The sequence below is a fragment of the Homo sapiens genome, chromosome 8 (assembly GCF_000001405.40).
Source record: "Homo sapiens chromosome 8, GRCh38.p14 Primary Assembly".
NCBI classification, from domain to species: Eukaryota; Metazoa; Chordata; class Mammalia; order Primates; family Hominidae; genus Homo; species Homo sapiens.
This window is the reverse complement of record NC_000008.11, coordinates 130,274,923-130,301,280: the sequence shown is the minus strand read 5'-3', so window position 1 is coordinate 130,301,280 and position 26,358 is coordinate 130,274,923. Positions and strand designations below refer to the sequence as shown.

Below are 26,358 nucleotides of genomic sequence, written 5' to 3'. Positions count from 1 at the left end.
TGTACATAAAGAAAGCAGGAGGTTTTCTCAAAGAGCAGGCATTGGTACAACATGTCATTTAATAGTTAAGAGGTGGGGGAAGGTAGCCTAATGGGTTATGCCAGCCACTTATCTTTAGGATAGTCTGGATAAAATATAAAGTACTATTTCTCATGTCCTCTGCTTATGCTGGGTCCCCATACACCATCTGAACTAATGGACTTTTTGGCATCATCTCCTTAAATGCATCATAGGGAATGAATTTCTCCACCAAGAAGCCCCATTATGGCTTTGTCAGCCTAGGTTTTGATTTAGCGATAGCAATATGTGCCTTCCAGACATAGGATGGCAATGAGGGAGGGCCTCTGCTGGTCCTTAAGTGCAGGGAGCCCCCCTTCTTAGAGATTAATCATCATTGTGACAGATGTGCTTTTGCTGAAACTTGGTCCAGAGAGCAGCAGATAAAGATTTGGATGATGTCTCCTTCCTTCTTTCTTGGCCAAAGGAAGCCAGCCCAGTGCTGGGCTTTCAAGAATCCAGTTGTTTAGAAAGGAGGGAGGTAATAAAGCAGAAAAAGATGTTTTATTTTTAGAAATTAATGTGCAGCTTTCTGATCTCCCAATCCAGTTCAGGTTCTTTCAACTTCATTATCTGTTGAGAACTATTAGCCTAAGAAATGATGTGACTGTGGTTCTCTACCTTGGCTGTGTGTTAGAATCATGCTAGAAACTCTTAAAAATCTAGGCCACATCCTAGACAATTAAATCAGAAACTCTGGGGGAGGGGTCTAGGCAGCAGTGTTTTAAAGCTGCCAGGTGATTCCAGTGTGCTGCTAGAACTGAGAACTTCCACAATATGGTTATACCAGCTACACAAGGCAGAGAGTTTTTACCTTGAAAAAATTAAAAAACAGCAGTAGTGTAAAAATATTATCCTCTTATTAAAAGAAGAAACATGTGACAGAGTGAATTCATTTAGATGTCTTGTTTGGTTTGATTTTAAATTACCACACTTAAGGTTGAAAGCCTTATCTGTTGTTCCCCATTCTCATGGCCTGATCACTGTGAAATTCTGGGACCTTAGAAGCCTTTTGTATTGACTGCTCGCTCGCTCGCTCTCTCTCTCTCTCTCTCTCTCTCTCTCTCTCTGTGTGTGTGTGTGTGTGTGTGTGTGTGTGTGTGTGTGTGTATTTTTCTTTTACTTCTTGTTTGGCCAAGAAACTGTATGTGTTAATAGCTTGTTTGTTTTTCGTCTTTTGTTTTGGCTAAATTGCTTTTCAAGAAACTGCCTGACTCCTTGTTTAATTAACTTCCATATCCTGCATATGTGGCTCATTTCACAGTCCCTCCATCCCTTAGTGGTTTTCCAGTCCACCACGAAGATTTGTATGAAGAAAATAGCCACCTCATCTATTTATACTATTTTATCTTGATGTTTTTCATTGTTTCTCTGAAGCACATTATTTCTGATCTTGAAATGTAATGTTTTAAAATATATTTTTATAGGAATTTATTTTTCTCCTCTGAATTGCCTTTGTTGTTATTCCTTTGGATTTTGAACTCACTTAACTCTGTGCTGGAAAGTTTCTGCTGATTTTTGTCTTCTTGATCTCTCTGTTTCTTTAAATTCTAAATTATTTTGCATTTTTCCTTACTGTTGAATTGCAACACTTAGTCTCTCTATCTTGTCACAATTTATGGAGAATGATAGCAGAATCCATCTCAATAGTATAGCAACTAAACATGTATATCATCGTTTCCTAGCTGACAGCCTGCATGGAGATGCATCCTTTAAAAAGGGGATGAGGATGAGAAAGGTACTGTGCCATATAGTGTTGGGCATACAACCAAGACGGCAGTAGACACAATTTGTTAGTGATGTCCAGTTACTAGTATTGCTGAGTTTATTTGTGACCTACTTTTTTACCTTTTGTATTCCCTGTGCATACGTGTAGCATTAAAACAGTGTTCTGTTGCCAACATCTCCAAACATTAGAAACATAAGTAACTGTTTTTTTCAGTTTCCCTGGGCTCCACAGAATGTAGAGTGGGCACATCTGCACAAAGCACAGGGCACAGCTTGCCCTTGAACGCTTCACAGCCTCTGTCGTTGCCACTGTTATCCGCTTGTGTACTCATCCTAGCCTCTGGGCAGACCTGCAGAGGCACGGACACACGGGCATCCAGCTTATTCCTTCCCTTTTTTCACCTCCCCATTTAGCTTGTCTTCTTTACCCACTTTCCACAGTCCTCTTAGGTAAGAGGCCATTCATTTCGTTAATAAGGATGTTTGTTTATTTGTGTTTCGAAAGTACATGCTATGTTCCAAGCACTTTGCTAGCTGCTAGGATGCAATTGACTACAAGACAGATGTGTTTTCTGCCGCCCTAATACCTGTAATCTGGTCGGGCAGACATATGAATAAACAGGAGTTTACAGTGGAGTGTGGTCAGTGCTGTGATGGAGTTAGTGCAGAGGTTCTGGGAGACCATGGCAGGGCACCCAGCCTTGTCTCCCGAGTCAAAGAAGGATGTCCAGAGGAAGTGGCACCTCAACTGAGATCAGAGGGATAGAGGTGGGAGAGAACCTGCCACTTTTGAGGAAGTAAAAGATGTATGTTATAGCTAAAGGATAATGGGGAACAAGAACGGTAATGAGCCTGGAAAGATGGGGGGCTTATCTTGGAAAGGCATGGAAAGCCTTTAGGGTTTGAAGCAAAGGATTGGCATGCTCTGATTTGCTTTTTAGAAGGACCATTGTGACTGCAGTGTGGAGAATGGATTGGAGAGGGAAAGCATAAATGAAAGGTAACAGTGTTTGTAGACATGACCCAGTGAGAGCTATTGGTGGCCTGGCCTCGAAGAGGAGATGGGATGGAGCTAGCAAAGATAGGGATTCAGGAAATATTTAACCCATGCCTTCTGTCTCAGGGCAGGAGTGATTTTCAACCCTTGAAAATGAGGGCTTGTCCTGCCTGTCTGCCATTTGGAGTCTTCATCTATGTTGTACATCATGTTGAAAAGATGTGTATTAGCTTCCTACTAATCAAAGCATGTTTGTGGATATGGACACCATTACAGGTTTCTCATGCTTCCCTTGGCTCCCAGACACTGGGCTAAAGTGTTGGATTGGTTGTGCAGTATCCATACTTGTCAACTAGCTATTTGTCATTTATTTTGCACCCTAGAGGCCAAAAATGTTAGAGCAGAATGATTCCTTAAGTTTTATCCCATCCAACACCCATGTTTAGCAATGAAGACATGGGGATTCAAAGAAGGGAAGTGATTTGCCTGGACTCCCACAGAGAATTGGGACTGGAACCCAGATGTTTCAGCTCCCAGTTATGTGATTCTTTGGGCCAGACAATGGCCTCTCTGGCCAATTTAGCTACAAGAGCATGTCACTTTGCCAGTTTTACTTTTCCCACTCCTTTTCAGCAGCAGTGAGTTAGTCTAAAATGTGGCAGTTAAATAAATCAAGGCTGATTTTGGGTGCACCCTTCCTTTAAGGCAATGGGCCTCTCCAGAAGGAACAGTGTGAACATTGTCTTCCAGCTCTACCTCTGCTCCCCGCCCCCCCGCTTTGTTTTCTTTGTCTCTGACAGCAGTGGACTCAGAACCTAAATTCCCCCTTCTTAAGCCACTTGGTGAGTGGCAGGGAGCAGTAGGACTCTGAGAGGTTCTGGGGGTTTTATTGTGATGGGAGATAGTCGTCCTGCACTTCTGTAGATTACAGGCCAGCAGGTGGAAGCCTGGGCTGTGGAATCAGATTGGGTTTGAGTCCCAGGTCTGCTTCTTGGCCACTGGGCATGCAAGGCCTTCATTTTCTCATCAGTGAAATAGGAGCAGTCATACTTAGTTGACCCTTGAACAGCCACAGGTGTGAACTGTGCTGGTCCACTTATATGTGGATTTTCTTCAGCCAAACGTGGATTGAAAATGCAGTATTTGCAGGATGCAAAACCTACTTATAAGGAAGGTTGACTTTCTGTACCCTCAGGTTCTGCAGGGCCGACTACGGGACTTGAGTATACACAGATTTTGATGCATGGGGGGAGACGAACTAATCTCCCACAGGCAGTGGGACAACCACAATTAGACTTCAGATTTTAAAAGATAATATATTTTTTAAAAACCAGTGCAGCGCCTGGCCCATAGTTGATGGTAACTATGCTTAAATTAGATTATTATTCGCTGTCCTTTTACTACAGTTTCCCAAACCATAGATTTAACCCCCCACACAGCTGTCTACCATCAGTTGCCCTGGTATCAGTTTTTTAATGAAATTTCAGGAGTGTGGGATTCTTTGTCTCTGCCCTTCTAATAGGTGGGAACTCTTACCTCTCTCATCCACTTAGCCCCCCAAAAAAGACAGTTAAACTTGAAAGCTACCAGACTGTGAAAAAGTAAATAAGAACCCCTGGCCAGGGAGAGGGCTTCAGCCTTAGATGTTTACAAGGGCCTGAAGCAGAGAAAGAGATAGAAAATATGTAAAAGCAAATTTTACCTGCTTGGAAAGTAGCTTAATTTTTTTTTTTTCTTTTAAACTAATTCTGTAGTCGGCCTTGTGCTCTGTAGAGCTGGATGAATGGTTAAAAAGAAAGGGGGAAAAGCCAGAAGAAATTAATTCTGTGGCACAGAGCTGTGAATTCTTCCTTGATGCAGGATCTGAGGTTGAAGGAGGTTAAATATGTGAGGGCCAGAAGGAAGTATCATGTAATGAATGATAAATCTCTAGCTGCTCCTCAGCAGGGCAAAACATGGGCTTAGCAAATGGGAAAAAAAAAAAAAAAAAGGGAAGTAGCAGGTGGAGATAATTTAAATAGCACAGGGACCCCTGCTTACCAATCCCTCCACAGAGTTTTGCCCTGGAGTAAGCATGACATCAGGGTGCTTGCTGCTTCCTCCAGTGGCCCGAGCTCTGTGTGCCTTTGTTGAACAAGGTTTTCGTGGAGCTGAGGTGACTCTCATGAACAGAGAATACCTGTCCTTCATACAGAGAAGCACCCAAATGCAAACATCTACTTTTTCTGGTGTTCAACCAGGTAAACCTCTGTTTAGCAAGAAACATCATCCCCAGAGTGGGGACTGTCTTGTCCTTTCAGAAGCTAGTACCCTAAGCAAGACTCATAAGGAAGGTCGGGCCTCCCTAGGTCTCTGTTTCTTCTGAACAGTGATGAGCTAGGTGCAGAGAGAGTTAAAGGTCACTATGCAGCTGACAAGTGTGACCAGTTCCCAGTAAATTCCACTTGGCTGGGGTTTCAGAGGTGAGCAAGGCAGGCTTTTTACTCATTACACAAGAATCTAGACATCCCTTTAATTGGGTGGCATTCTGGGTGCTAAAAGGAAGGGGCTTTGAGAGGCAAAGATGATGGGATATCATAAATTTTTTTGTTTCCTTTTTAATATAGCGCAGCTCCTATACTTAAGATTTAACTTTGAAATGTAGCATAGCTAAGATCTGGTCCAAAAAGATTTCTGATATCTCCATGAATCCTAGTTAGGGATTGATAGGAAAAAAAAAATCTTGTGCCACAGCTTCATGCTATTTTTAGGAACCTTTCTGAAACCAGTGGCAGCCCAAGTTAGAGCCCAGCATTAAGTCCACCTCATGCACATCATACAGTTGCAGCTTATGGTAAAAGCTTTCTGCAAAGCTTTTCTGCTCCTGGGTTAAGGCCTTCCAGCATCAGTCACATGTAATTAACAGCTACATTGTGTGCTTACTTTTTGCTAGATGTTTCATAAACATTATCTCATATAAACCTCACAATAACTAGGTATTATTATCCCGTATCCCTGTTTTACAGCTGTGGAAAGTGAAGTGAAGGATTTTTGTCATACAGCCAGTAAGTGCCAGAACTGACTTGAACCTAGCTCTCTGTCTTGATTCAGGAACTACTGCTCTTTCCATTGGTGGCTCCTGGCTAATCAATGTGATAGTCTTTGAAGAAAAAAAAAAAAGAGTTACTATCTTCAGAGTTTTAAACTTATCTGGGAGAGAATTTAGGACTTTTCTTTGTGAGACAGTCTTGCTCTGTTGCCTAGGCTGGAGTGCAGTGGTGTGATCATGGCTCACTGTAGCCTTGAACTTCTGAGCTCAAGTGATTCTCCTTTCTCAGCCTCCCAAGTAGCTAGGACTCCAGGTGCATGCCACCACACCTGGCTAAATTTTTAATGTTTATTCATTTATTTATTATTTTGTAGAGACTGGGTTGCGCTATATTGCCCAGGCTGGTCTTGAACTCCTGGCCTCAAGCAATCCTCCCACCTCAGCCTCCCAAAGCACTGGGATTACAGATGTGAACCACTGCTCCCAGCCTAGGACATTTTTATTATTCCTCTCGCTGTTAATCCAACAACCCTGTCCACATTCCTGTAAATTGGCTTTGTTCATCTTTTTTACTTCCAGACATGTTAATTTTAAAAAGAAGGCATCTTACTATCTTTTTAATGGCTTCTGTTTTCTTCCAAGTTAAACCAAAGAGTCATTTGTAATTTGCCTCAGTAATTGGACTGTGACTTTAAATGGCTGCTAGAATTGGCCTTTTGTTGACTTTACTGGAGTTAAAATAATTCTCTGTTTTCATTAGCCAAGAGAAAGACTTGTGACTCTTGATGCTTTTCCCACTGCAGGAGCAAAGCAGTAACCCCAGTAAGGGAGAAGAGAACTTAGATTTGTGTAAGTCCACTGTGTGTTGGACACTTAAACATACTTTAGATGTATTATCTCATTCATCTTTCTGACTGCATGAAGGTGCTATTGCTGTCCCCATTGTGTAGGTGCAGAGAGAGTTAAAGGTCACTGTGCAGCTGGACATGTAGTCGATCTGGGATTCAAACCCAGGTCTGTCCAGCTCATGTTATTTCTACTGTATCACACTTCTCACCTGTATATGTTGAATGGCCAGAGTGAAGGCTGGGCTTTATGGGATACAGAGGAGGTGACTGTACACCAGGGGAAATCAGTGTCACCTTTCTGACGCTCCGTGGCATTACCCTCATTCAGAACTCATTACCAAATACTTCATGTAAGTAACCTCGAAAGTCTTATGAGTACATCGAGAACTAGTTCCAAGTCACAGAACTGTTCTTGTGGTGAAAGTGGTTGAAAGGCTATAGTTCATTTTGGTTATTGGATGGAAATGCCCTCTCTCTCTGGTTGATTAACGGAGAAGACTTAGTATACCAGCCATTGTTTCTTCGTATGGAACGTTGCTTGTTTTGTCCCATTTTCTCATCTGCAAAATGTGGGTATAATACCTATTACGTAAGATTATTGTGAGAATTGAGAAGTGTGATAATGTAGGTAAAACATTAGCAGAGTATTTGGCTCTTACATAGAGGCTCAAATTGCATTAGTGGCAGGAGGAAAGTCTGTTTTATTCATTGTTGCTCCCTCAGCAGCCAGGCCATTGCAAGGCACATGGTGCACATTCAGTAAATGTTGGTGAGTCATTGATTTCTTTTCTCCCTTTGTACTTATTTTTTACAGATATTTGAGCACCTAGCCTTGTGCTGGACAATAGGGGACATGGGGTCCTTCACACAAGAAACATTTGTAGCCTCATGAGATAGATGGTCATTTGTGAAAATAATCTAAAGAAAATGACCCATTGTTGAGTGGTAGATGGTGACCCTTGAGGCTATAGTGTGCAAAGCTGATTTGGAAATCCCTCCAGCCAGCTCTGGGGCTGATTGTGGTGGGGGTGGGGGAATCCTTACTTACTACTTTTGGCCCTGCTGTCAGAATTGGACCTTGTACTGTCATTCTAAGCTGGGTTGAGCCTGAGCACGTCTTGTCACCTCTGTGACTGAAGGCTGATTTAATATGTCATGAGGCAGTTTGGTTTCAGGAAGTGGTTTGCTGGGGCATGAGCGATGGATGTTGGAAGTTAGAAAAGAGCCAGAAATTAAAATGCTGCCTCAGTTGGGTGATTGAATCCAGTCTTACCTGGTGGGGCAACCACTTATTGATTTGGAAAGCCTTGGTGAATCCATTTTTTGCTACTCACACTGGGGAATGGGGACCAGCAGCATCAGTATGACCTGGGAGCATCTTCAGAATGCTGAATCTGAGCCTCCTCGTCAGACCTGCTGAATCAGAATCTGTATTTTAAAGAGATCCCCAGATATTTATGTGCAGTGTGAAAAGCAAGCTTTGGAAAAGAAAGGGCAATTCTGTAGACTTTAAGCTTAGGAACAAGAGTATTTTTCTGGAGTCATTTGAATGTCAGTCGTTAAGCAGGGCTGCCAATTAGGGCTGATTTTCTCACTGTTTAATACTTGCCAAGTATCTTGAGCAGTGGCTTCCCAGACTGAGCTGCTAACTGAATAAAGGTGGCATGATTGCCGATGAAAATAATAGTACATTCGAGTTTTAAAATGTTTTTATATAGATCCTTTTCTCTGTTCACAGAACAGTCTTGTGAGATCATCTCATCTCTGCTTTACAGGTAATAAAACTGAAGCACAGAGAGGTTATGTGACATGCCTAGAGTCACACAGTAAAATCAGTAGCAGTTTTGAACTGAGGTCTTAAAATTCCAAGAAGTTGGGAGCTTGCTTTTTTTTTCCTTTTCACCATCTAAATTTTCCACATTGAGATATGAGAGAAATCCTCCATTTCTGCCATTGCATTTGTGTAGGTGCACAACAGGGAACGTGAGACAATTATAGTAGAGAATAATCTGGACCAGGAATGGCGTTCTGCAATAATCACCTCTTGAACAATAAACTTGGAAAGTTTCGTGGTTGTTTCTGATTCAGAGCCTGGAAGAGCAAGCCATTTCCCTCCTCCTACCCTTGGTTTACTAATCATTCACTTCCTCTTCTGTAAAGCCCAACTCAAAGGACCCCTGCTTTGTAAAGCCTTCCCTCTGGGATGGGATTGGGGGGCAGGCAGATAATTGGTTCCTCATTCATATTTTATTCATACTTCTGTTAACAAAGCTGATCACACCATCTTAACTGCACATCTTATTACCCACATGCGCAGACAAGGCTGTAAGATTCCTGAGGATCTAGAAAGAGTCTTCTTCACCATTGTAGCCCCATTGTCTGGCATGTGTTGGTCCTTCATACATGTTAAGTGAATGAATGCGTGTATGCATGATTCAGACTTTGTTTTTTGCCTTTCTTTTCTTTTTCCCTATAGTCTGCTCTTTATAGATTTTTAATAGCATCCAAAAGGGTAGTAGGGGCAGGAAGCTAAAGGGTAGGAAATAAAACTCAAATTCTTCAGTTTCGAGTTCAGTTCTCAGTTCAGCTCCTCTCCAGCAGCTTTTAGGAAAGCATTTTAAAGAAAGGGAGGCTCACTTGGGGCTTGAGGATGGTCTGGTCCCTCACAGTGAATAGACAAGCATCAGGCGCAGCTGCAGTTTTTACGGAATACGTGCACATTACCTTTCCTCAGTGTCCCCTCGTAAGCAGTGAAATGTAATAAATGGCGTTTTAGGGAGCCGAAGAGTTGTCAAGTTTCCACAGTTTGGAGAACTTTAACATATGGCATCTTGGGATCTAATGAAATAAATAATTCATGCCTGGAAATATAAGCAAGAGTGAATCTCTCTCCTTGCTATGTGAATGGGGACTTTGGTTGCCTTTTTCAAGGTATGTATGAAACATATTTATTCAGTCCACTCATTTATGTCCCTTTACTTTCTCACTCACTCGTCAAACTTATCAGCCTCCTCTTCCCCTTCCTTTTCCCCTCTTCTTTTCCCTCCTCCCCTCATCTCTCTTCTCACCGAAACCCTGAGGGAGATAGGAAGGTAATAAGTATTATTGTTTTGTCAGTGTCTCCATCACACACCTTCTGTTTTTCTTTCTTGAGGCATCTCAGAGGGAAGTGGCAGGAGATGACTTTCAGCAGACCTTTCCCCTTAGTGAGGACAGTAAGTCCCAAGGACATGTGGAGGCAAGGATGAGGGGCAGATGAACAAGCAGCTGTCTGGCCTAGGTCTTACAGAATTATTTTTCCTGGAATTAATATGCTTAGAATGTATACTTTAGCAAGTGTCTATTTCTGGCTCCAGCATTTTTCTTTGGGTGTCAAACCTGGTTTTATCTCTGAGATTTTTCGACACTAGGAGAATTTGACATTCACATTCTAAGAGTGTTCTGTAATGTTTCCATTTACATACCAGTTTTCTTCATTTTTTGGCTGGAGGGGTATGTGAATATATACAAGAATCTGAGCAGATTCATTTTTAGCTGCAGCAGAGGCAAGCCTCAGGGGAAAAGTCAAGATAACTGGATTCCTGAAATGGTATAACTTGGCAACTCGTCTTTTCTGTTCCTTAGCCTGTAAAGCATTATTTGGTTTTAGAAGAGGAGTAGCTCCTACTTGTGAAGGTCTTCATTGGAATGGCACATTGAATGCATGAACCCTTAAAATCCTTACTCCCTTTAACCCAAGCCACATCTCAGTGGCTTTAAAGCATATCAAAGCAAGGAGGGGAAAGTCTGTGTGATACGGTACTAAAATTGATCCTGTAGTACCAGGCATGAGGAGAGGAAGGAGGAGTATCATCATTATCCTGTTAAGGATTTGTCATGCCTCAGAGCATCTGCAAGGAAATAGTCCACAGATAAAGTTCAGCAAGTGATTTGCAATTGGTAGAGGTGGTTTGGCATTTTGAAAAGCTTTATAAATGTGACTGCAGCCTGAGAAGAATGACCACCACTGGAATGAGGGAAGGCTGGAAGGATTTAAGGGGTTCTTTATGAAATCAGGCACACATCCCCATGTCGACTAGGCTAGACTCAGGCACCATAATAGCCCTGGTTCAGGGTCACTCCTCTTTCCAGGAAGGTTTGGATCCTACAGTTAGAAAAGAGGAATCTTGGATCTCTAGGTAAGGGTTAGAGAAAGTATTCTGGGCATCCCAAGTTAGAATCTGGTGTCTTTGCTTAACGAGTTCTGAACATTTCATGTGAGGGAATATGGGCTACTGTTGTAGGCCTTGCTGTTTCACCTGAACCATCCCTGCCCTTGAAGGACTTAAAGTTGGAAGGAATGTGAGGAGGCGGAGTAGCACAGTTATATGACATCTAATCCAAAGTAGAATATGCGAGCCTTAAGAGAAGTGCAGAGGGCTGTGAGGAGTATGAAGTGGCTGGCAAATAGATTCAGTATTATATTTCATTTATTCATTCTGCAGATATTTATGGACCACCCTTTTATGTTGCTATTGCTGTGCTAGTATTGGAGATACAAAGATGAATATGACACCTCTCGGGCCGTTGCCAACTGTCGAGTACCAGGAAGAGCGCTTAGATAAATGACCATGTACAATGGGGTACGTGCAATTATAGGTCCACTGTTATTTGCTGTTCTGAATTCCAAATGTTAAGAGTTTTGACATGAAATTTTGTTTCATGAGGCTTTTAGAAGCTAAACTAGAAACGTACTGGATATTTAAAAACTGTGTTACCAGAATCTGATAATGGAGTTCTACACTAGTCCCTGTGGGGTATGTTGTATAATAAACAATAAGTATACTGTAATTTCTTTCTGAAATCTACAAAAGTATGAATTCTAAAACAGCCAGCCCCAGCTAAAGGATTGTGGATACAAGTAAGATACTTCAGGTGATTTGAGAGTTTACCTGGCTGTATGGGCTACCCTGGGAATATAACCACTCTTTATAACATCCTTTCTTCGAGAATGGTATGTGCTAAGTTATAAACAGCTGACTTAGGGCCATCATTTTAAAGTATGAAGCCTTCCAGTCTTCGCCTCCCCAGTCTTTTCCATTCTTAAAGTTTGGACCAGTCTGCAAGGTAGCTGCCTCCCTAAGGATTTGGGGTATTCTCTAAAATTTGAATATATGATATTCTTGTGCCCTTTGAATACGCTGTTTAAAAATAAATTTTAAAGAATATTCTCATGTAAAAGTAACACACATACTTTGGAAAATACAAAACATAGGAAGAAGGAAAAAATGGCCACATTCTTACTGTGAACACACTGATGCTTTTTCTGTGCATGTTTTTGTTTAATAGTGTTAGTCTGACGCCTTCTTATTCATTATAACATACCCATTTTCCCATGTTATTTACATAGTCTTGGTAAGTATAGTTTTTTTTTTTGTTTGTTTTTGTTTTTTGTTTTGAGATGGAGTCTTGCTCTGTCGCCCAGGCTGGAGTGCCGTGGCACCAACTTGGCTCACTGCAACCTATGCCTCCCGGGTTCAAGTGATTCTCCTGCCTCAGCTTCCCGAGTACCTGGGACTACAGGCGTGTGCCACCACGCCCAGCTAATTTTTTGTATTTTTAGTAGAGACAAGGTTTCACTGTGTTAGCCAGGGTGGTCTCGGTCTCCCGACCTCGTGATCCACCTGCCTTGGCCTCCCAAAGTGCTGGGATTACAAGCATGAGCCACCGCGCCCAGCCTTGGTAAGTATAATTTTTAATGGTTATACACAGTTTCATTCTGTGAATTTATCATAATTTGCTTAACCATCTCCCATCATTGGACATTGTTATTTGTCCTTCCCTCCCTTCTTTCCTTCTATAAGTAATGCTGCTGTGAACATCTTGCATTGACCAGATTACTGGGGCAGATTACCTGTGCTTCCACAGTGGTTTTACCATAGTACAGATGCCATCTTCTTCCCATAGTGCCCTTGCCTAGTACATTTTAAATTCTTGGAGGACAGAGTCTCCTTCACATTTGTCTCTGGGTCCTCTACACTGCCCTGCTTAGGGTCTTGAAGGTGATTAACACATTTGTTTAATGGATATGCAGTCCAGACTTCTGAATGCCCTTTTCCCTCTTAGAGTTAATGTGTAAGAGCTGGCAGTGCTCTGTAAATGCACAGCTGCAGGTAGGACACTGCGCCTCCAAATAAAACATGTCCTGATAAGCATTTGCAGGGAGGTTTATATTCTCAAAGATATCCTCTTTATTAACAGTTGTTTCAACAAGGAATTTTTTTTTTTTTTAATATCAGCTCTTGTAAAAGAATGGAATTACCCTAAGGAGTGAGTTCTGGGGACCCAAATTGAGGAATGGTGCCCTCGAAGTCAAATACTGGAACCAGAAAGGTTAGAAATAGATTAAAAGCCTCAGCTTTATCAGAAAAAAGCCACAGATGAAAAGCCTCAAGCAGCTTCCAGCATGGCTGAGGAGATAAGCTTCCCATATTTGCATTAATTAGCAGGAGCACCTAGCACTGATTGCTTGATGCGTGTAGCTGGAGCTCCTGCCAGGGGAGAAGAGTTCCACGCAGCATGGATGCAGGAGTCGGACTAGAGCACAGTTTGAAAGCGCTTTGGGATGGCCTCACCCTGCATGGGTGCTTGGTTGACTGTGCGTGGAGGTGACTAGAAAGGACAAGCCTGGGGAAGAGATAGGCTGGGGTAGGGACCTAACAGGGCAAGAGGGTATGTGTTTGAAATGTTAAGTCAGTTTACCAAACCTTCCCAGGGTCTCTGCTATATGCTAGACTGAGTGGGAAGGGCTAGGGGTATAGAGGTGACAAAACCCAAACACAGCCCTCTGAGCGTTCCCTATGTTAAAGGGCACAAATAGTTGCTATAATAATGTTCTATTAAATATGTAATTATGGCCTTTGACATAATCTGTGTCTGATAGTTTGCACCCAAACTTGTGAGATAGGGCTTACGCATTTTGCAGAGGAGAAATTCAAATGCAGAGGGTTTGAGGCATTTGCCCACAGAACTCGCCTTCCTTGGCTGTTAGGCTTTGTGGGTTAGGCTTTATGTCCCCATCATCGCATTGAACTGTGTTTCCCATGGTCTGAGAAATTTAGCCTAACTAGGCCTCCCCCCAAAAATCAGTTTACTTCTCAAAAATGGATGGATGAGGGGGTCAGTGGGTGAATGGGTGGATGGATGGGTAGAACAAAGACAATATTCATAAAGGAGGGTGTGACTGATGAGTAAGTGCATGGTGCCATCATCTATACTGCATTGTCCCTTTGTTCAAGCTCTTCCTAATCTGAAGTAACCTTACCTACCCTATCTTATCTTTTATTATCCCCCAACATCCATCCATCAAGCTGTCCTGTCATCCTTCTATACTTTCATCCATCTAACTATTATTTGCTAGTTCCAGGCACTGTGCTTTGGACAGGCAATATACAAAAATGTGTAAAGTTCAGTCCTTGAACTCTTGGTGATATGTAGTCAGCTTTGTTCAATTAGAGTCAGATAATTCTGCTTAACAGTCAATTTCCCTGTGTTCCTTCTGGCCCCATTACTAAAAATGCTCTAACTGCTCCTCTCTGAGCAGTACTCTTCAAGGTCTCCCTCCTTGGCCACCAAGAAGTCTTCCCTCAAATTGTGCTCATTCGCCTTTTTGACCCCCTACGGGCCTTCTTCATCTGAATCGCTCCCTGCTATGAGGTGTTTCCTTATACCATTAGCATATCTTACCTTGTTTATAAACTGATGTCTAGATAAATGTTCCCTGTGGGTGTGAACTTTTGCTTCTCATCATTTCATAATGATAAGCACAAAGGTGTTAAAGTTGTTTGCTCATTTGTGCATTCGTTTGGGCAGTTGCACACTTTTTAAAGCTCAGTAAACATGTCGGATGCTGTGAATCTTGATCATTTTCCCCAGTCCTGGTGTGATGAGCATGAAGATGATGATGGGTAACCCTTATTGGGTACTTCCTGTGCACCAGGCACTGTTCTTAGTGCTTTACATGGTTTAACTCATTAAACCCTCACCGCAAAGCTCACTGTATAGAGGAAGGAACCAGAGCATACAAGTATTAAGTAAGTTGCTCAAGCAGGATTAGAAACTCAGGAATTCTGGCCTTCAGACACCCTCTGTAACTACAACTCCATCAGTACATGAAGGAGTTCTCTAGCTGCTGTGACTCCCGATTTTGTGAAGTGTTTTTATTTTATATCAAAGTAAGTGATGGACTTAAACTGTGAATGGAAGTAGAATGTCATATACGCAGTGAGATAAACATCAGTGAAATAAATGCTAGCTTTGTTTTTAGTTAATTGAGAATAACTTTGTAAGTTCATTTTGCAGCAGGTTTTTGTTATGGCCCAGTTTTCGCCAAAGCCTATTTCTAGTGTTTTATAAGAAACAGTGCAATGTACTTCAGGTGGTCCTGGTGTCTAAAACCTACTCTGCCATTTGATACTGTGAGAACTTGAGCAGATTACTGTGCCCTGAGCCTTCTTTTCTTCATTTAGAAAATAGCAAATAATTCTGCCTGGCAAATTTGTTGTGAGGATTGAGGGAGATAACACCTGTTATTTTCTAGTACCATACCTGGCACATAGTAGGTTTTCAGTAAGTGGCTAAAAATAATAGATATATCAGAAACTTGTTAGCAGGCAGTGATTTTCTAAGTTAAGACAGGTAGCAAATTATTTATGATATCTGTTCCAGTAAAGCCTTGGCTCATTATTTTGCTTTTATTTATTTTTAATCAGTATTGGAACATTGTTGGTACTCGCTCAGCAGGAACAGAACGTGATAAAGTTACATCAGAAACCAGAGGCGGAAAACTTTCCACGGTGATATGCATAAACAAATATTTCATATTTTTTACAGAAAGTCTGGCTATTGCCTATAGAAGACAAAAACTGGTAACAGCCTTATTCCAGCTAAATTTGAATGCCAGGTTGACACTAATCATGGATGCTTTCCCAGAGCTTTCAGAAAAACAAAACCAACCTGTTGTGTTTAACTTTCCAAAGATGTCAGAGTTACAATTGGCTGAATATTTTTGAAGCTACATATATGACGACTCTCTTCATTTCAGTAATTAAAACAAATTTTTTAAAAAGATACCTCCTGAATAGATAAATATGATCATAATTATGTTTTTCCTTGGTTTTATTTAGACCATAAAATTTTTTCTAGTGATAAGATCATTTTGTTTTGGCCGACATACATAAAATTCTCTTCATTCATGAAATTCTGTGTTCACTAGTACCTGTAGGCTGGCACCAAGTCAGTTTTGTTTTTTGTTTTTTTTTCTTTCCAACTTGGTGGTTTACAACTCCTTGAGTATTCCATTTTTATTTGTGTATGTTTCTGAAAGTTCTGCAAGGAAGGTCAACTATTTAAAGTCATTACTGGTATATCTTAATATTTATTTTACTAATACTTTTTTTTCATGCTTGCTGTAGGAAAATGAATGTGGGTTGCCAAGTCTTCCTTTTCTCTTAGGTCTGGTGTTCTCTGAACTAATTCACTCCAAAGTGTTGCTGTCAAGGAAGACTCAAATTATAAGGAACCACTAGGACCATCTTTATTAGAGACTGGCCTTTACTTTCTTAGGTCTTAAATAGGGTGTGGATGGGAGAGGTTTTCCAGTTCCTGTTTCACAGGCATTAGGACCAATCTTTGTGGGCAGCCACCCACTCATGAGTGTATGTCTCTCTGTCTCTCTCTCTCTTTCTCTCTCTCTCTCAGTATGGTGTGTGTGTGTGTGTGTGTGTGTGTGTGTGTGTGTGTAGAGTGTAAAAGGAATGATTGGTTTTACTACCCCATGAGGAGATCCAGTATTCTTATGGGGGGAGGGAATATTAGGAAAGATGTTTTTTTCTTCTGTGCAAAGCTGTCATGCTTTGTCAGTGATTACAGAGATAAACTTAACAGCTGCATTGCTAAATTACCCCTCCCTCCCAGTGGCTGCATCCTACATCACAGTCTGCATGTGGTCTCTGTGGTTCATTGTCACTGGTTCCCAAACCAAAGGAAGCCATTGGTCTTGTTGAGTGGTGACGCTTATCTTCATAAATCCTGGCTGTACTGGGCGCATCCCTTTTAGTTTATTTTCAGCCCAGCCCTCATAGCTCACTTTCCCCTGCTTAAAAATTTTCATGGGTTTTCCCTCACCTTTAGAGAAAAGTTGAGTTACTACAATTTGACTCCCGTTTTTGCCTTTATGGGGGTTCATTTGAACCTCATACTTTGTGGCTAAATTACACTATAGTCACTTGAATCCATTTATATATACAATTTATCGTTTTGACTACTGTCTAGAATGGTTGTTTGTCCAGTTTTCATTTTCCTACTTTTATTGCTCCAATGTTTTGAGATCTTGGATCATTATTACTAAATTTCCAGGTTTTATGGATAGAATTTTGTTTTTAAAAGGGATTTGTTCTTTAGGGCCCCCAAATTTTCAAGACGCCCTACACATTCGGTTGGCCATTTTAATCTCTTCTCAGGGATGGGTTTTGTCCATTAGAACCTCTGTCCTCCGTGCCAGTGAACTGGAAATTTAAGGCGGATGTGATGATGATGAGTCTAACAAAAAGCTGTCCTCATCACATACCCAGTCCTCCACAAGGTTTTTGTGGATACAGTCAGTGCAATACCCACTCTTAGGCCATCTAGATTAGTTCCTCACAGATTCTGGGGATTTCCTACATCTGATGAGTTTCTGATTGCATGTCCTGAAATGGCACCATTTTTTTAGGCCCTTACCCTTCATTGGACATTATCATGGCTTTTCAATTTAGACATCTACTGACAGTGATTCTACTTTGCCCATCAACCAAATCTGATTTTCTAGACCTGGTTTTAAGGCATCCTATTATCTGACCCTTCCTCATGTATCCAGTCTCAACTACAACTTTCTGTTCTTATCAAGTTAGTCTCTTTCCATTCTGAAACACTGTTCCCCACACATCCCTGCCTTTGTTTGGCCTTCTTTAGCTGTCTGCATCCTGCCTTCTTTTTTTTTTTTTTTTTTTTTTTTTTTCTTTCTGTGATGGAGTCTTGTTCTGTCACCAGGCTGGAGTGGTGCAGTGACGTGATCTCCTCTCACTGCAGCCTCTGCCTCCTGGGTTCAAGTGATTCTCCTGCCTCAGCCTCCTGAGTAGCTGGGACTACAGGCGCGCATGCCACCATGCGCAGCTACTTTTTGTATTTTTAGTAGAGACGAGGTTTCACCATGTTGCCAGGATGGTCTCGATCTCTTGACCTCGTGATCCACCCGCCTCAGCCTCCCAAAGTGCTGGGATTACAGGCGTGAACCACTGTACCCAGTGTTTTTTTGGTTTTTGTTTGTTTGTTTGTTTGTTTGTTTCCTGGCATCCTGCCTTCTTTTAAGGCTAAGTCCAGATGCCATGCTCTCTACAAAGAGGGCCTTACTTTTCCAGCTGGTGTGGATATATTTTTCCTCTCTCCAACAGTAGTTACTGCAGAGCTCACAACGTAGTGGCCCACTTGCCAAATCCATCCCATGAAGGTTTTGTTTGCTCCACCAAATTTGCCTAGTTGCTGTTATTTGTATTTCAGGAAATTTCACATAAATATTGGATTTCTGGCTTGTTTGAAGAACATAGACCATTTAATAATAGTGCATCCCCTTTCCCAATTGGCAAAAGCCAGCTAAAGCTATTCAATTAGTGGCTGTTTTACTTAAATGATGAAGGTTGTTGTAACTTTGCCGCAGCGAAACCCACTCCTTGTTATAATAGGCCAACCTTGCTTCTCTCATTAATATTATCTTCCTGACCCCAGTAACTATTTCAGTTTATGATCCTTTGGGTTCTTGTTCATTTAGTTGTCTACCCCCACCACACTCTATTTCAAATTATTTGTGTAATTTTTATGAGAGTAGGGATAACAGCTTTCTAAAAATATATTTTCCCCAATAATGTGGATACTTTGTTGGGTAATTGCCAAATCAGTGATTGGTTTTGATATTGTGGCTTGAATGCCATGGTTGATGTACACATGCCAGAGCTGAAAGGCCTTTCAGTTTGCCAAAAGGGGATCTTATTAAGTGCTTGCAGTTACATTCACACATCATGATTAATAATGAGTATCCACGTGGAGTGCAGATGGTAACAGTCGTATTGCAATTGGTGAACCTTAAGCAGTTTCAGATGAAATTTCAAAAATATTTTGATTTGTTTTTACCAATAGACTAATAATTAAGCCATTTCTAAAAGGAGGAATTAATATACAAATGCAAAAGCGATTTGTAGTTTTGACTAAAACATCTGCAAGTGTGGAGTCACAATATATTTTATGTTTCTTTATTTTTTCCTATTTGGCAAAATAAGTAGGGAAATAGTGGTTTCCCAGATATAGATTATTAGATCCCTAAAACATGGTATACTTGCAGGATTTTAGACACTTCTGCTTTGACAGTGTGATTAAATCAAATTGGATTCTAATTAAAAGATACTGCAAAATGTAGAACATATATATTTGGTTGGTGCAAGAGTAATTGCGATTTTTGCCATGCCATTCCTTTTTTTTTTTTTTTCGAGGCAGAGTCTTGCACTGTCGCCTGGACTGGAGTGTAATCGGTCATGATCTTGGCTCACTGCAACCTCCACCTCCCGGGTTCAAGTTATTCTCCTGCCTCAAGTCTCCCGAGTAGCTGGGATTACAGGCACCCGCCACCTTGCCCCGCTAACTTTTTGTATTTTTAGTAGAGATGGGGTTTCACTATGTTGGCCAGGTGGGTCTCGAACTCCTGACCTCGTGATCTGCCTGCCTTGTTTTCTCGAAGTGCTGGGATTACAGGCGTGAGCCACCGCGCCCAGCCTCCATTACTTTTAAATGGCAAAAGCCACAATTACTTTTGCACCAATGTAATATAAGATGCAGAGTTTCTTAGAGGAAAATGAGTTCACATGCCATGATTGTGTATGTTGATTCCTGGGTTCCCCACATATCACCATATAGATATGTTGCAAAACAGAATAAATTAAGTTGTTTGTTTTTTTAACCCCCCCAAAAAAACTATTTTTTACACTTTGGATAAGTTTTTTAGCCTGAAAATCTGGACCAGTACTTAGTTGTAGATTTACAGTACCTAGACTTGGAGATATAAACCCCTGTTCTTAGAAGGTAGAAAGCCCTGTCATGATTAAAAAAATCAAGGACCAAGGAGGGTATTCCCTCTCTCCCAGTAGTAAGTTTTCAAATTAGTTAATAAGCATATGTCAGTCTTTATGGACAAAATCAAGAAATGATGTCATTGACCATAGAGAGATTTGTAAAAACTTAAAAGCAATGGAGAAAGCTATAAGTGATAGGGAAACATTGTTTATGTTGATCCACGGATCTCTAATACTAATTTTATTGAGTTGTAGGTTTATTTATTTCTCCCAGCATCCTTTGTGAGGGGGTACATATCATTTCCAGTTTTACAGATAAGGTAATTGAGTTTATCTAGATGAAATAACCTTGTTCAGTGTCATACAGCCCCAGGTTATCTGCCCCCAAACCTCTGCTATCTTCTACCACACAACACAGCCACCAAGTATAATGTTTTTTGAGTACATATACATATGTACTCTAAACCTATTTGTTATTTGGAAAAACAGCATGTTGGTTGTTACATGTTATTTGGAAAAAGTGAATCTGTAAACATATTTACTCACCCATTTTTAGACAGATCAGTGACTGTTAGACAAATCACTGACATGGATTCTTGGTTATGGTTAAATGAAATGGTGCTATTAATGACCAAGCAGAAGAATGAACCAATAAAATTATCATTTCCTTGTTTATTTTTAAATTTCAATAAAAACTGAAGTGTTAAATTCTAACATAGAAAATTAAATTCACTTTTGGCACTCTTCCCAGCCCCAATAACTGATTGTTCTGAATTTTAAGTAACTGGATAATTCTGACTATTTTATTACAAATTTTCACTCTCTAATAGAATCGCTGATGAGCATGTATTGCTCTCCCTCTTTTCTATTGCCTTTTGTTGATTTGGATAATGCTACAGCTCAAAGCTGGAAGAGTCCAGTAGGATTATTAAATTATATGAATCATGCTCTAAGAAAGTTCTAGTCTGGATTCTGAAAATGCTGACATGGTTGACTGCTCTCTACTGTGGCAGACTGTGTGTCAAGGATGCCTCCCAGGAGTTGTGCTGATTTGTGAGGACTAGTTGTCAAAAGATTCCATAACCATTATCACAAGTAGACTTTATCCACAAAATGCCCAGTTTCTTGGGACATATAATCACAATTGAATATATCACACACCACTTTTAAAAACTTGTATTCTAGGCCAGAGGTCAGCTACCATTTTATCCTGCTAGATTCTCCTGAAATCCATACTCCATATGAGAAGTAAAGGTAGAAAAGGGACAGCGAGGAATATGAGCAAGCACTGGTCTGGTAAAATCATCTTTGTTCAGTTCCAGCTGGGCTACTTACTGGCCTTGTGATGTGTTTTAAAGGCCCCTTGATCCCTCTGAACCATGGTTTCCTTGTCAGCAAAATAGTCAAGAACACTACCTCTGCCTATCTCTTTTTGATGACCAAATAAAATAAGGAACATGTAAGTGCCAGTTTGAGGTATTCTTAAACAGTACAAAGTTGCTGAATGAGACACAGACTCAGGTTTCTAACCTGGCACATAGTTGATGTTTATAAAAGTTAGTTCCCATCTCCTCTTTTTAGTTGTAGGTTTTATATTGATTATTGGTTCAAGAGAGGCAAAAGGTTGTAAATAGCTCAGGGTCGCTTTAGTTATGGACGCCCCTAACTATTTTAGTGGACCGGTTTCCTGCTTAACGCTCTATGTTCTTTCCTCCCTGCCTTCACTTCTCTTTTTTCTCCTTCTCTGTCAACTACTACATTGCTAACTCTTTCTCATCTGTAGTATAGAAATTATACAATATTTTTACAATAGAGAAAGATCTAGAAATTATCTAGTCAAGTCTATTTGTTTTATAGATGAAGGAACTAAAGCTGAAAGAGGTTAGTTTCTTGTTTGAGATCACACAGCTGATAAGCACCCAAGCTGGAATTTGAACCCTGCGCTTGTTTCAAAAGCAAATTTATTTTCACTGCACTATGCTGCTTTTATGATTTGCATTCCCCCCACTCCATTTAAAAATATGCTTAACTATCTCTGCAGAAGTGGATTTCTAACATCTGCCATTAACATCCACTGCGGTTTGTGAGCCAGTCCTCACATTCCCTCGTTGCCATATTCAAGACTCCATGTGGGACAGCCATGGATCTGGCAGAGAAGCAGATTTCAGCAGAAGGTGTGGGTGACTTCAGAACCCCTAGTGCTGGGTGTATGATTCAGACCTTACATGAGGAAAGAGTAATTTCCTGTGCCTCCCCCGTGTACTTTTAGGCTATAGCAACCACAAAGTTCAGAGGAAGGTGTAGGATTCGTGTACTTCTGTTCATTTTTTTTCCCCTCTCTGTCTCATTGTGAATCAAGGGCTTGATTTTGGAGATTTTGCTTTTACCTGCCAAGCAGAGGGACCAGGATTTGTTCTGTCCCGTGGTAGACATGGCTTTCGATACCTTATTAGGGTATCACTTTCAATAACACTTTCTACTTCAGCTTCCTCATCTGTGAAATGGGTTTGAGGGTTCCTGCCTTGCTTGTCTGTAAGGATTGTTTTGAATGAACTAATGGATGAGGAAGGGCTTTGTAAACATGCCTAACACTCTCTAATTGTGAGGGCCTTTATGAAAAGACTTAAAAGTAAGAGGTAAAAGCCATGGATTTGAATTCTGGTTCTGCCCCCAGAGTGGTTACTGGGTACGGTGAGTAGATGTTGGGTGGCCCAGAAACAACAGCTCCCCCTCTCTTCTGTTTCACCCATGCGTATTTATATTTAGAAAGGATATTTAATGCATATGGATAAAATATCCCAGGAATTAATTAGAGTTTTTTTCGTCCAATGTCTCTCGACTGTTTTATCGTATGTCCCAGTCCAATATTTGCACTCTTAGCTGCAAAACTTGATGATGCATCAAGGAAAAAAAGAGAAAGGCTTATTTGCATGGAAGACTTTTGCAAAGAATGTTTTCTTATTGGCATATATTGTCTTCATGTGTTTCTAATGAAACAGAAGCCAGTGAGTCTCTGGGTAATTTCTTTGTTTCCACCCTGACGCTGTTGATGTCAACAAAAAGTGCAGTTCATTTTTAGGTAGGGTCATATTTTCTTTTTCTTTTTTTTTTCATTTAGCACAGGAGTGGTGGACTTAACCTGCCACACCCTTTTAATTTAATAAAATATGTCTAGATTATGGGATGTGACTACAGCTTTCTGTGGTTGGTCGTGTCCATCCTAAAGATCTGGACTCAATACCTTGAAATGCTCATGTTACTACAATGAAAAGCGTGTGTAACACAGCAGTAAGTGTTTACATTGCTCATTCCCTTTATGCTGTCTAACATCATAGAGAGTTAAAGAACTCATGGTTTGAGGGATATTGGTACTAATTTACATAACTTTTATAAGGCCCTTTGATTTTTTTTTTTTTTTCTGGTTTTCAACACACTTATTAGGTCTCTTGTCATGGCACAGGGAAATAAATCTTCAGCCTCGCTGAGAACCATACTACTTTGGATTTCTTCCTTTCATGGCTAAGAATTTATTTGCTCCCTTGAGCTCTACCCAGATGAGGTCCTCCCGAGAGGCTCCCTGCCACTCTCTACATCTCTGTGAACTCCACTGGCAGTCTGAAAACTGTCCTGCTACGTCCATGTGATGGGCCCACAAACGCCTACAGCCCTTCGTCAACAGACACAATATGAGTGGCAAAGACATTTATGTAATCTGGGGACAAATTTGTAAACTCTTTTGAGAAATCTTACAGAAATCATTTCCCAATTGGAGCTAATGGCTGCTTGCTGGTGGTGTTTCCTAAGGCATTTGAAAGCCATTTCTATATCTGTACTTCCTTTATTCCCACTCTTTAGACTTCTTGGTGCCCTGTTAGATTTAGACTATTATGACACTTATTTTTTGTTTCTGTCATGAGAACTCTGTGTCACTTTGTGCTTGTCTTTAGGAGTTTTCAATGTTTGTTTTTGCTTACATTTTTAAAGATGGGATTGTCTAAACATTTTTCATGTGGTAAAAATGGAATTCATATTTTGAATTTGTATTTTTTCTACTGAACTTTCTGGTTCTTTCCTCTCAACTTCATCTGCTTCATCTTTTGTTGTCTTAAATTCACTGGATATGAAGAACTAGTATGGCTTATAGTTATTGGTGTTTTTCTCCTGTTGCCTATAGCCGTTGTCCTCGTTACCAAGTGGCTGCTACAGGAAACCATCTTTTAGGTGAATGGCCAGACTGGATGGGGCAGACTGGTTCCCCTTTCTCGCTGACGCTGTTTGGCAGCTGCTTTCTCTCCAGTCTCACTCAGGTTACCGTGGCCTGTGGTCCTCAGCTAGAGCATGCATCGTAATCAACTAGGAGATTCTGATCTGGAGAGTCTGGGATGGGGGGCCCTCGGTGCCTGCATTGAAAAGCACACACATGTGATTCTGATGTGGACGGGTGAGGGTGGGGTTACGCTGTCAAAGCCGTACCTATTGTGAGTCAGCTAGGCTGCACATGGACAAGGGACCCCAGGGACTGACCTCCCTCAGCAGCAGGCAGAGTCCTTCCATCGTCTGCCATTGAGTTCACTTAGTTTTCTGTGTCTGCCAAGACCGCTCCTGGCACTGTGAGTGCACTGCTCTCCTTGTCCCTTTATTTCTGTTCCTTAATTTCTGTTGACTCACACTTTCCACCTTCTCATAGTTTAGGGTCTCTCATGCTGCCATGGAGCTTTTTTGTTAGAGGAGAGAGAGAGAGAGAGAGAGAGAGAGAGAGAGTGTGTGTGTGTGTGTGTGTGTGTGTGTGTGTGTGTGTGTGTTTGCAGTCTTGGCTCTCAGTTCACGTTTGGCCTGCAAATCCCAATCACAAATCCATTTGGTCAGAATTCGGGCTAAGTATTTACTCCAGATTGTCTCAGCTGTGGCTGAGGTACTGTCACAGAAGACCCTGGGATCAGCCTACAGGACACAAATGCCAGCTTTTTTGTCTGAGGATACCTGTCAGTAGCATAGACCATCACATGGCTTAGCAAGCTGGTTCTTCGTAGTCCATGATTGGCTACAGTAGAAGAAAAGCCTAAATTTTGAATTCATAGTTAAGAGTTACAGTCCTTGTTAGCACTTGTTTACAGTGTGATCTGGGGTAAATCATTTATCCTTTATAAAATGGAGACTAATGTAGCTTTTGTCACAGTAGCAGAATGTATATGGAATCACTTTGTGAACTTAGAGGAAATGGAAGAGATTGTTACAGCTGGAGCGGCCCAGTGCCCCCCAGCCTTCTTTTTTAAACAAATGAGGAACGAAGCTCTAGGAGTTTGCTGTGCCCAGGAACATCATAATTTATTAGCAGCAATGCCAGACCTAGAGGTCAGGCCCGCAGGGTTCTTTTTGTGACATCTTTTGTCAGGGCAAAGCATCCATTCATGGAACTGGGCTGAATCTTTCTCATACTCTTCCCTTAAAGAGGCTTGCCTTTTTGAAACTTGGTTCTTTCCTTGATCACTCTGTCATAGAATCTGTTCTTGGAGCCGCTGATGAAGTCCGGTCATTATCAGTACCTTTACTTCTGCAAAAAAATGTGACTGGTATTATCTTCTACTTGGTTGTAACGGTTTACGTTCTCCTCCAGTTCTGTTGTTCTCCGTGAGGAATGTAGTTTTTTACATGCCTTTTCCATTGGAGAGTTACAACAAAAAAGCAAAATAAATCTATCTTTTCTCTGATATGGCCTCCTTATTTGTTTTAAAAGCATTTTTATGTTTATTTGGATAATATTTAGAAAATATAATAGATTTAAACATAATTTTAAAAGCATCAAAATGCTTACGTTTCTCTAATTGTGCAAGAATCTTTATATACATAGTTTTTTTTTTTAACTGAAGTTGCATCCTGCCAGTAAAATTTGAACGAATTGCTTTATAAGTTGATAAGGCCCCTTTAAAACCCTTTTCACTTCTTAGCTCCTGTGTGTACCTCTGTTTAGAAGGTGTTTTCTCCTTCCTAGGCTAGCCAGGAGGAGAGCTTTTGTGTGCAGGCGCTGGGACGCCTCAGGGGACTGGTAATTGAGAGAGGGGTATTGACCTGGGTCATCCATCTGAAAGTACGTAAGTGCTGCTGCCCAAAGCCATTATTACTGCCTTCCAGGAATCTTTGATAAGTGAATTAGTGGCTTTCTTTAGCTCTCTTTGACCTGTGGAAAGCCCAATTACAGGCTTCTTTGTTCACCCATTTGTAACTTCTTTCTGTTAGGGCCAGGAATATAACTTCATCTGAAGACTTCTCCCAGTTGTGGGTTTCAAAGCATTTGGAAGAAGAAAAGGAGCTACCATTTGTTGAGTGCCTTCGGAGTGCTCAGAGCTTTGTATATGCTCTCATTTCATTCTTGTCTAAGATCTAGAGATGGTTAGGATTATTCATTCCTGTTTCACAGATGAAGACTCTAAAAAAGTTGGAGAAGTAGCTCAAGGTCATCCAGCTACAAAATAACACAGCTAGGAGTTGAATATGGAGCTACAGTCTCAAGAGTCTATGCTTATTATGTCTCACTAAATGGTTTCTGTTCCAAGTTAAGGGTAGTGGACT

The 26,358-nt window shown here is 41.0% G+C and overlaps 1 protein-coding gene and 1 long non-coding RNA gene across 25 annotated transcripts in view, besides 1 other annotated feature; both read left to right on the top strand.

Moving 5' to 3' along the window:
- ASAP1 (ArfGAP with SH3 domain, ankyrin repeat and PH domain 1) overlaps positions 1–26,358 on the top strand; it is a 391,571-nt gene that overhangs the window by 142,394 nt on the left and 222,819 nt on the right. For 2 of the 24 annotated variants that reach the window (XM_006716565.3, XM_047421803.1), the window contains one exon: positions 11,143–11,280. The exons of 21 other annotated variants lie outside the window; for them this stretch is intronic. In XM_006716565.3, the coding sequence (XP_006716628.1) occupies positions 11,263–11,280 (18 nt within the window). In that variant the 5' untranslated portion in view covers positions 11,143–11,262. Of the gene's footprint in view, positions 1–11,142; positions 11,281–16,745; positions 24,402–26,358 lie in introns of those variants that run through there. One more of the 24 variants, XM_047421811.1, reaches the window with a different exon arrangement.
- On the top strand, positions 4,748–5,926 carry ASAP1-IT1 (ASAP1 intronic transcript 1). The gene has a single exon (NR_002765.2). It is a non-coding gene; the product is annotated as an ASAP1 intronic transcript 1 (long non-coding RNA).
- Positions 22,229–22,298: an enhancer, noted in NCBI's record as "active region_27984". NCBI's record gives its function as "activates an Ori minimal core promoter by ATAC-STARR-seq in GM12878 lymphoblastoid cells {active_cell/tissue: GM12878}" and the evidence as "EXISTENCE:reporter gene assay evidence [ECO:0000049][PMID:35858748]".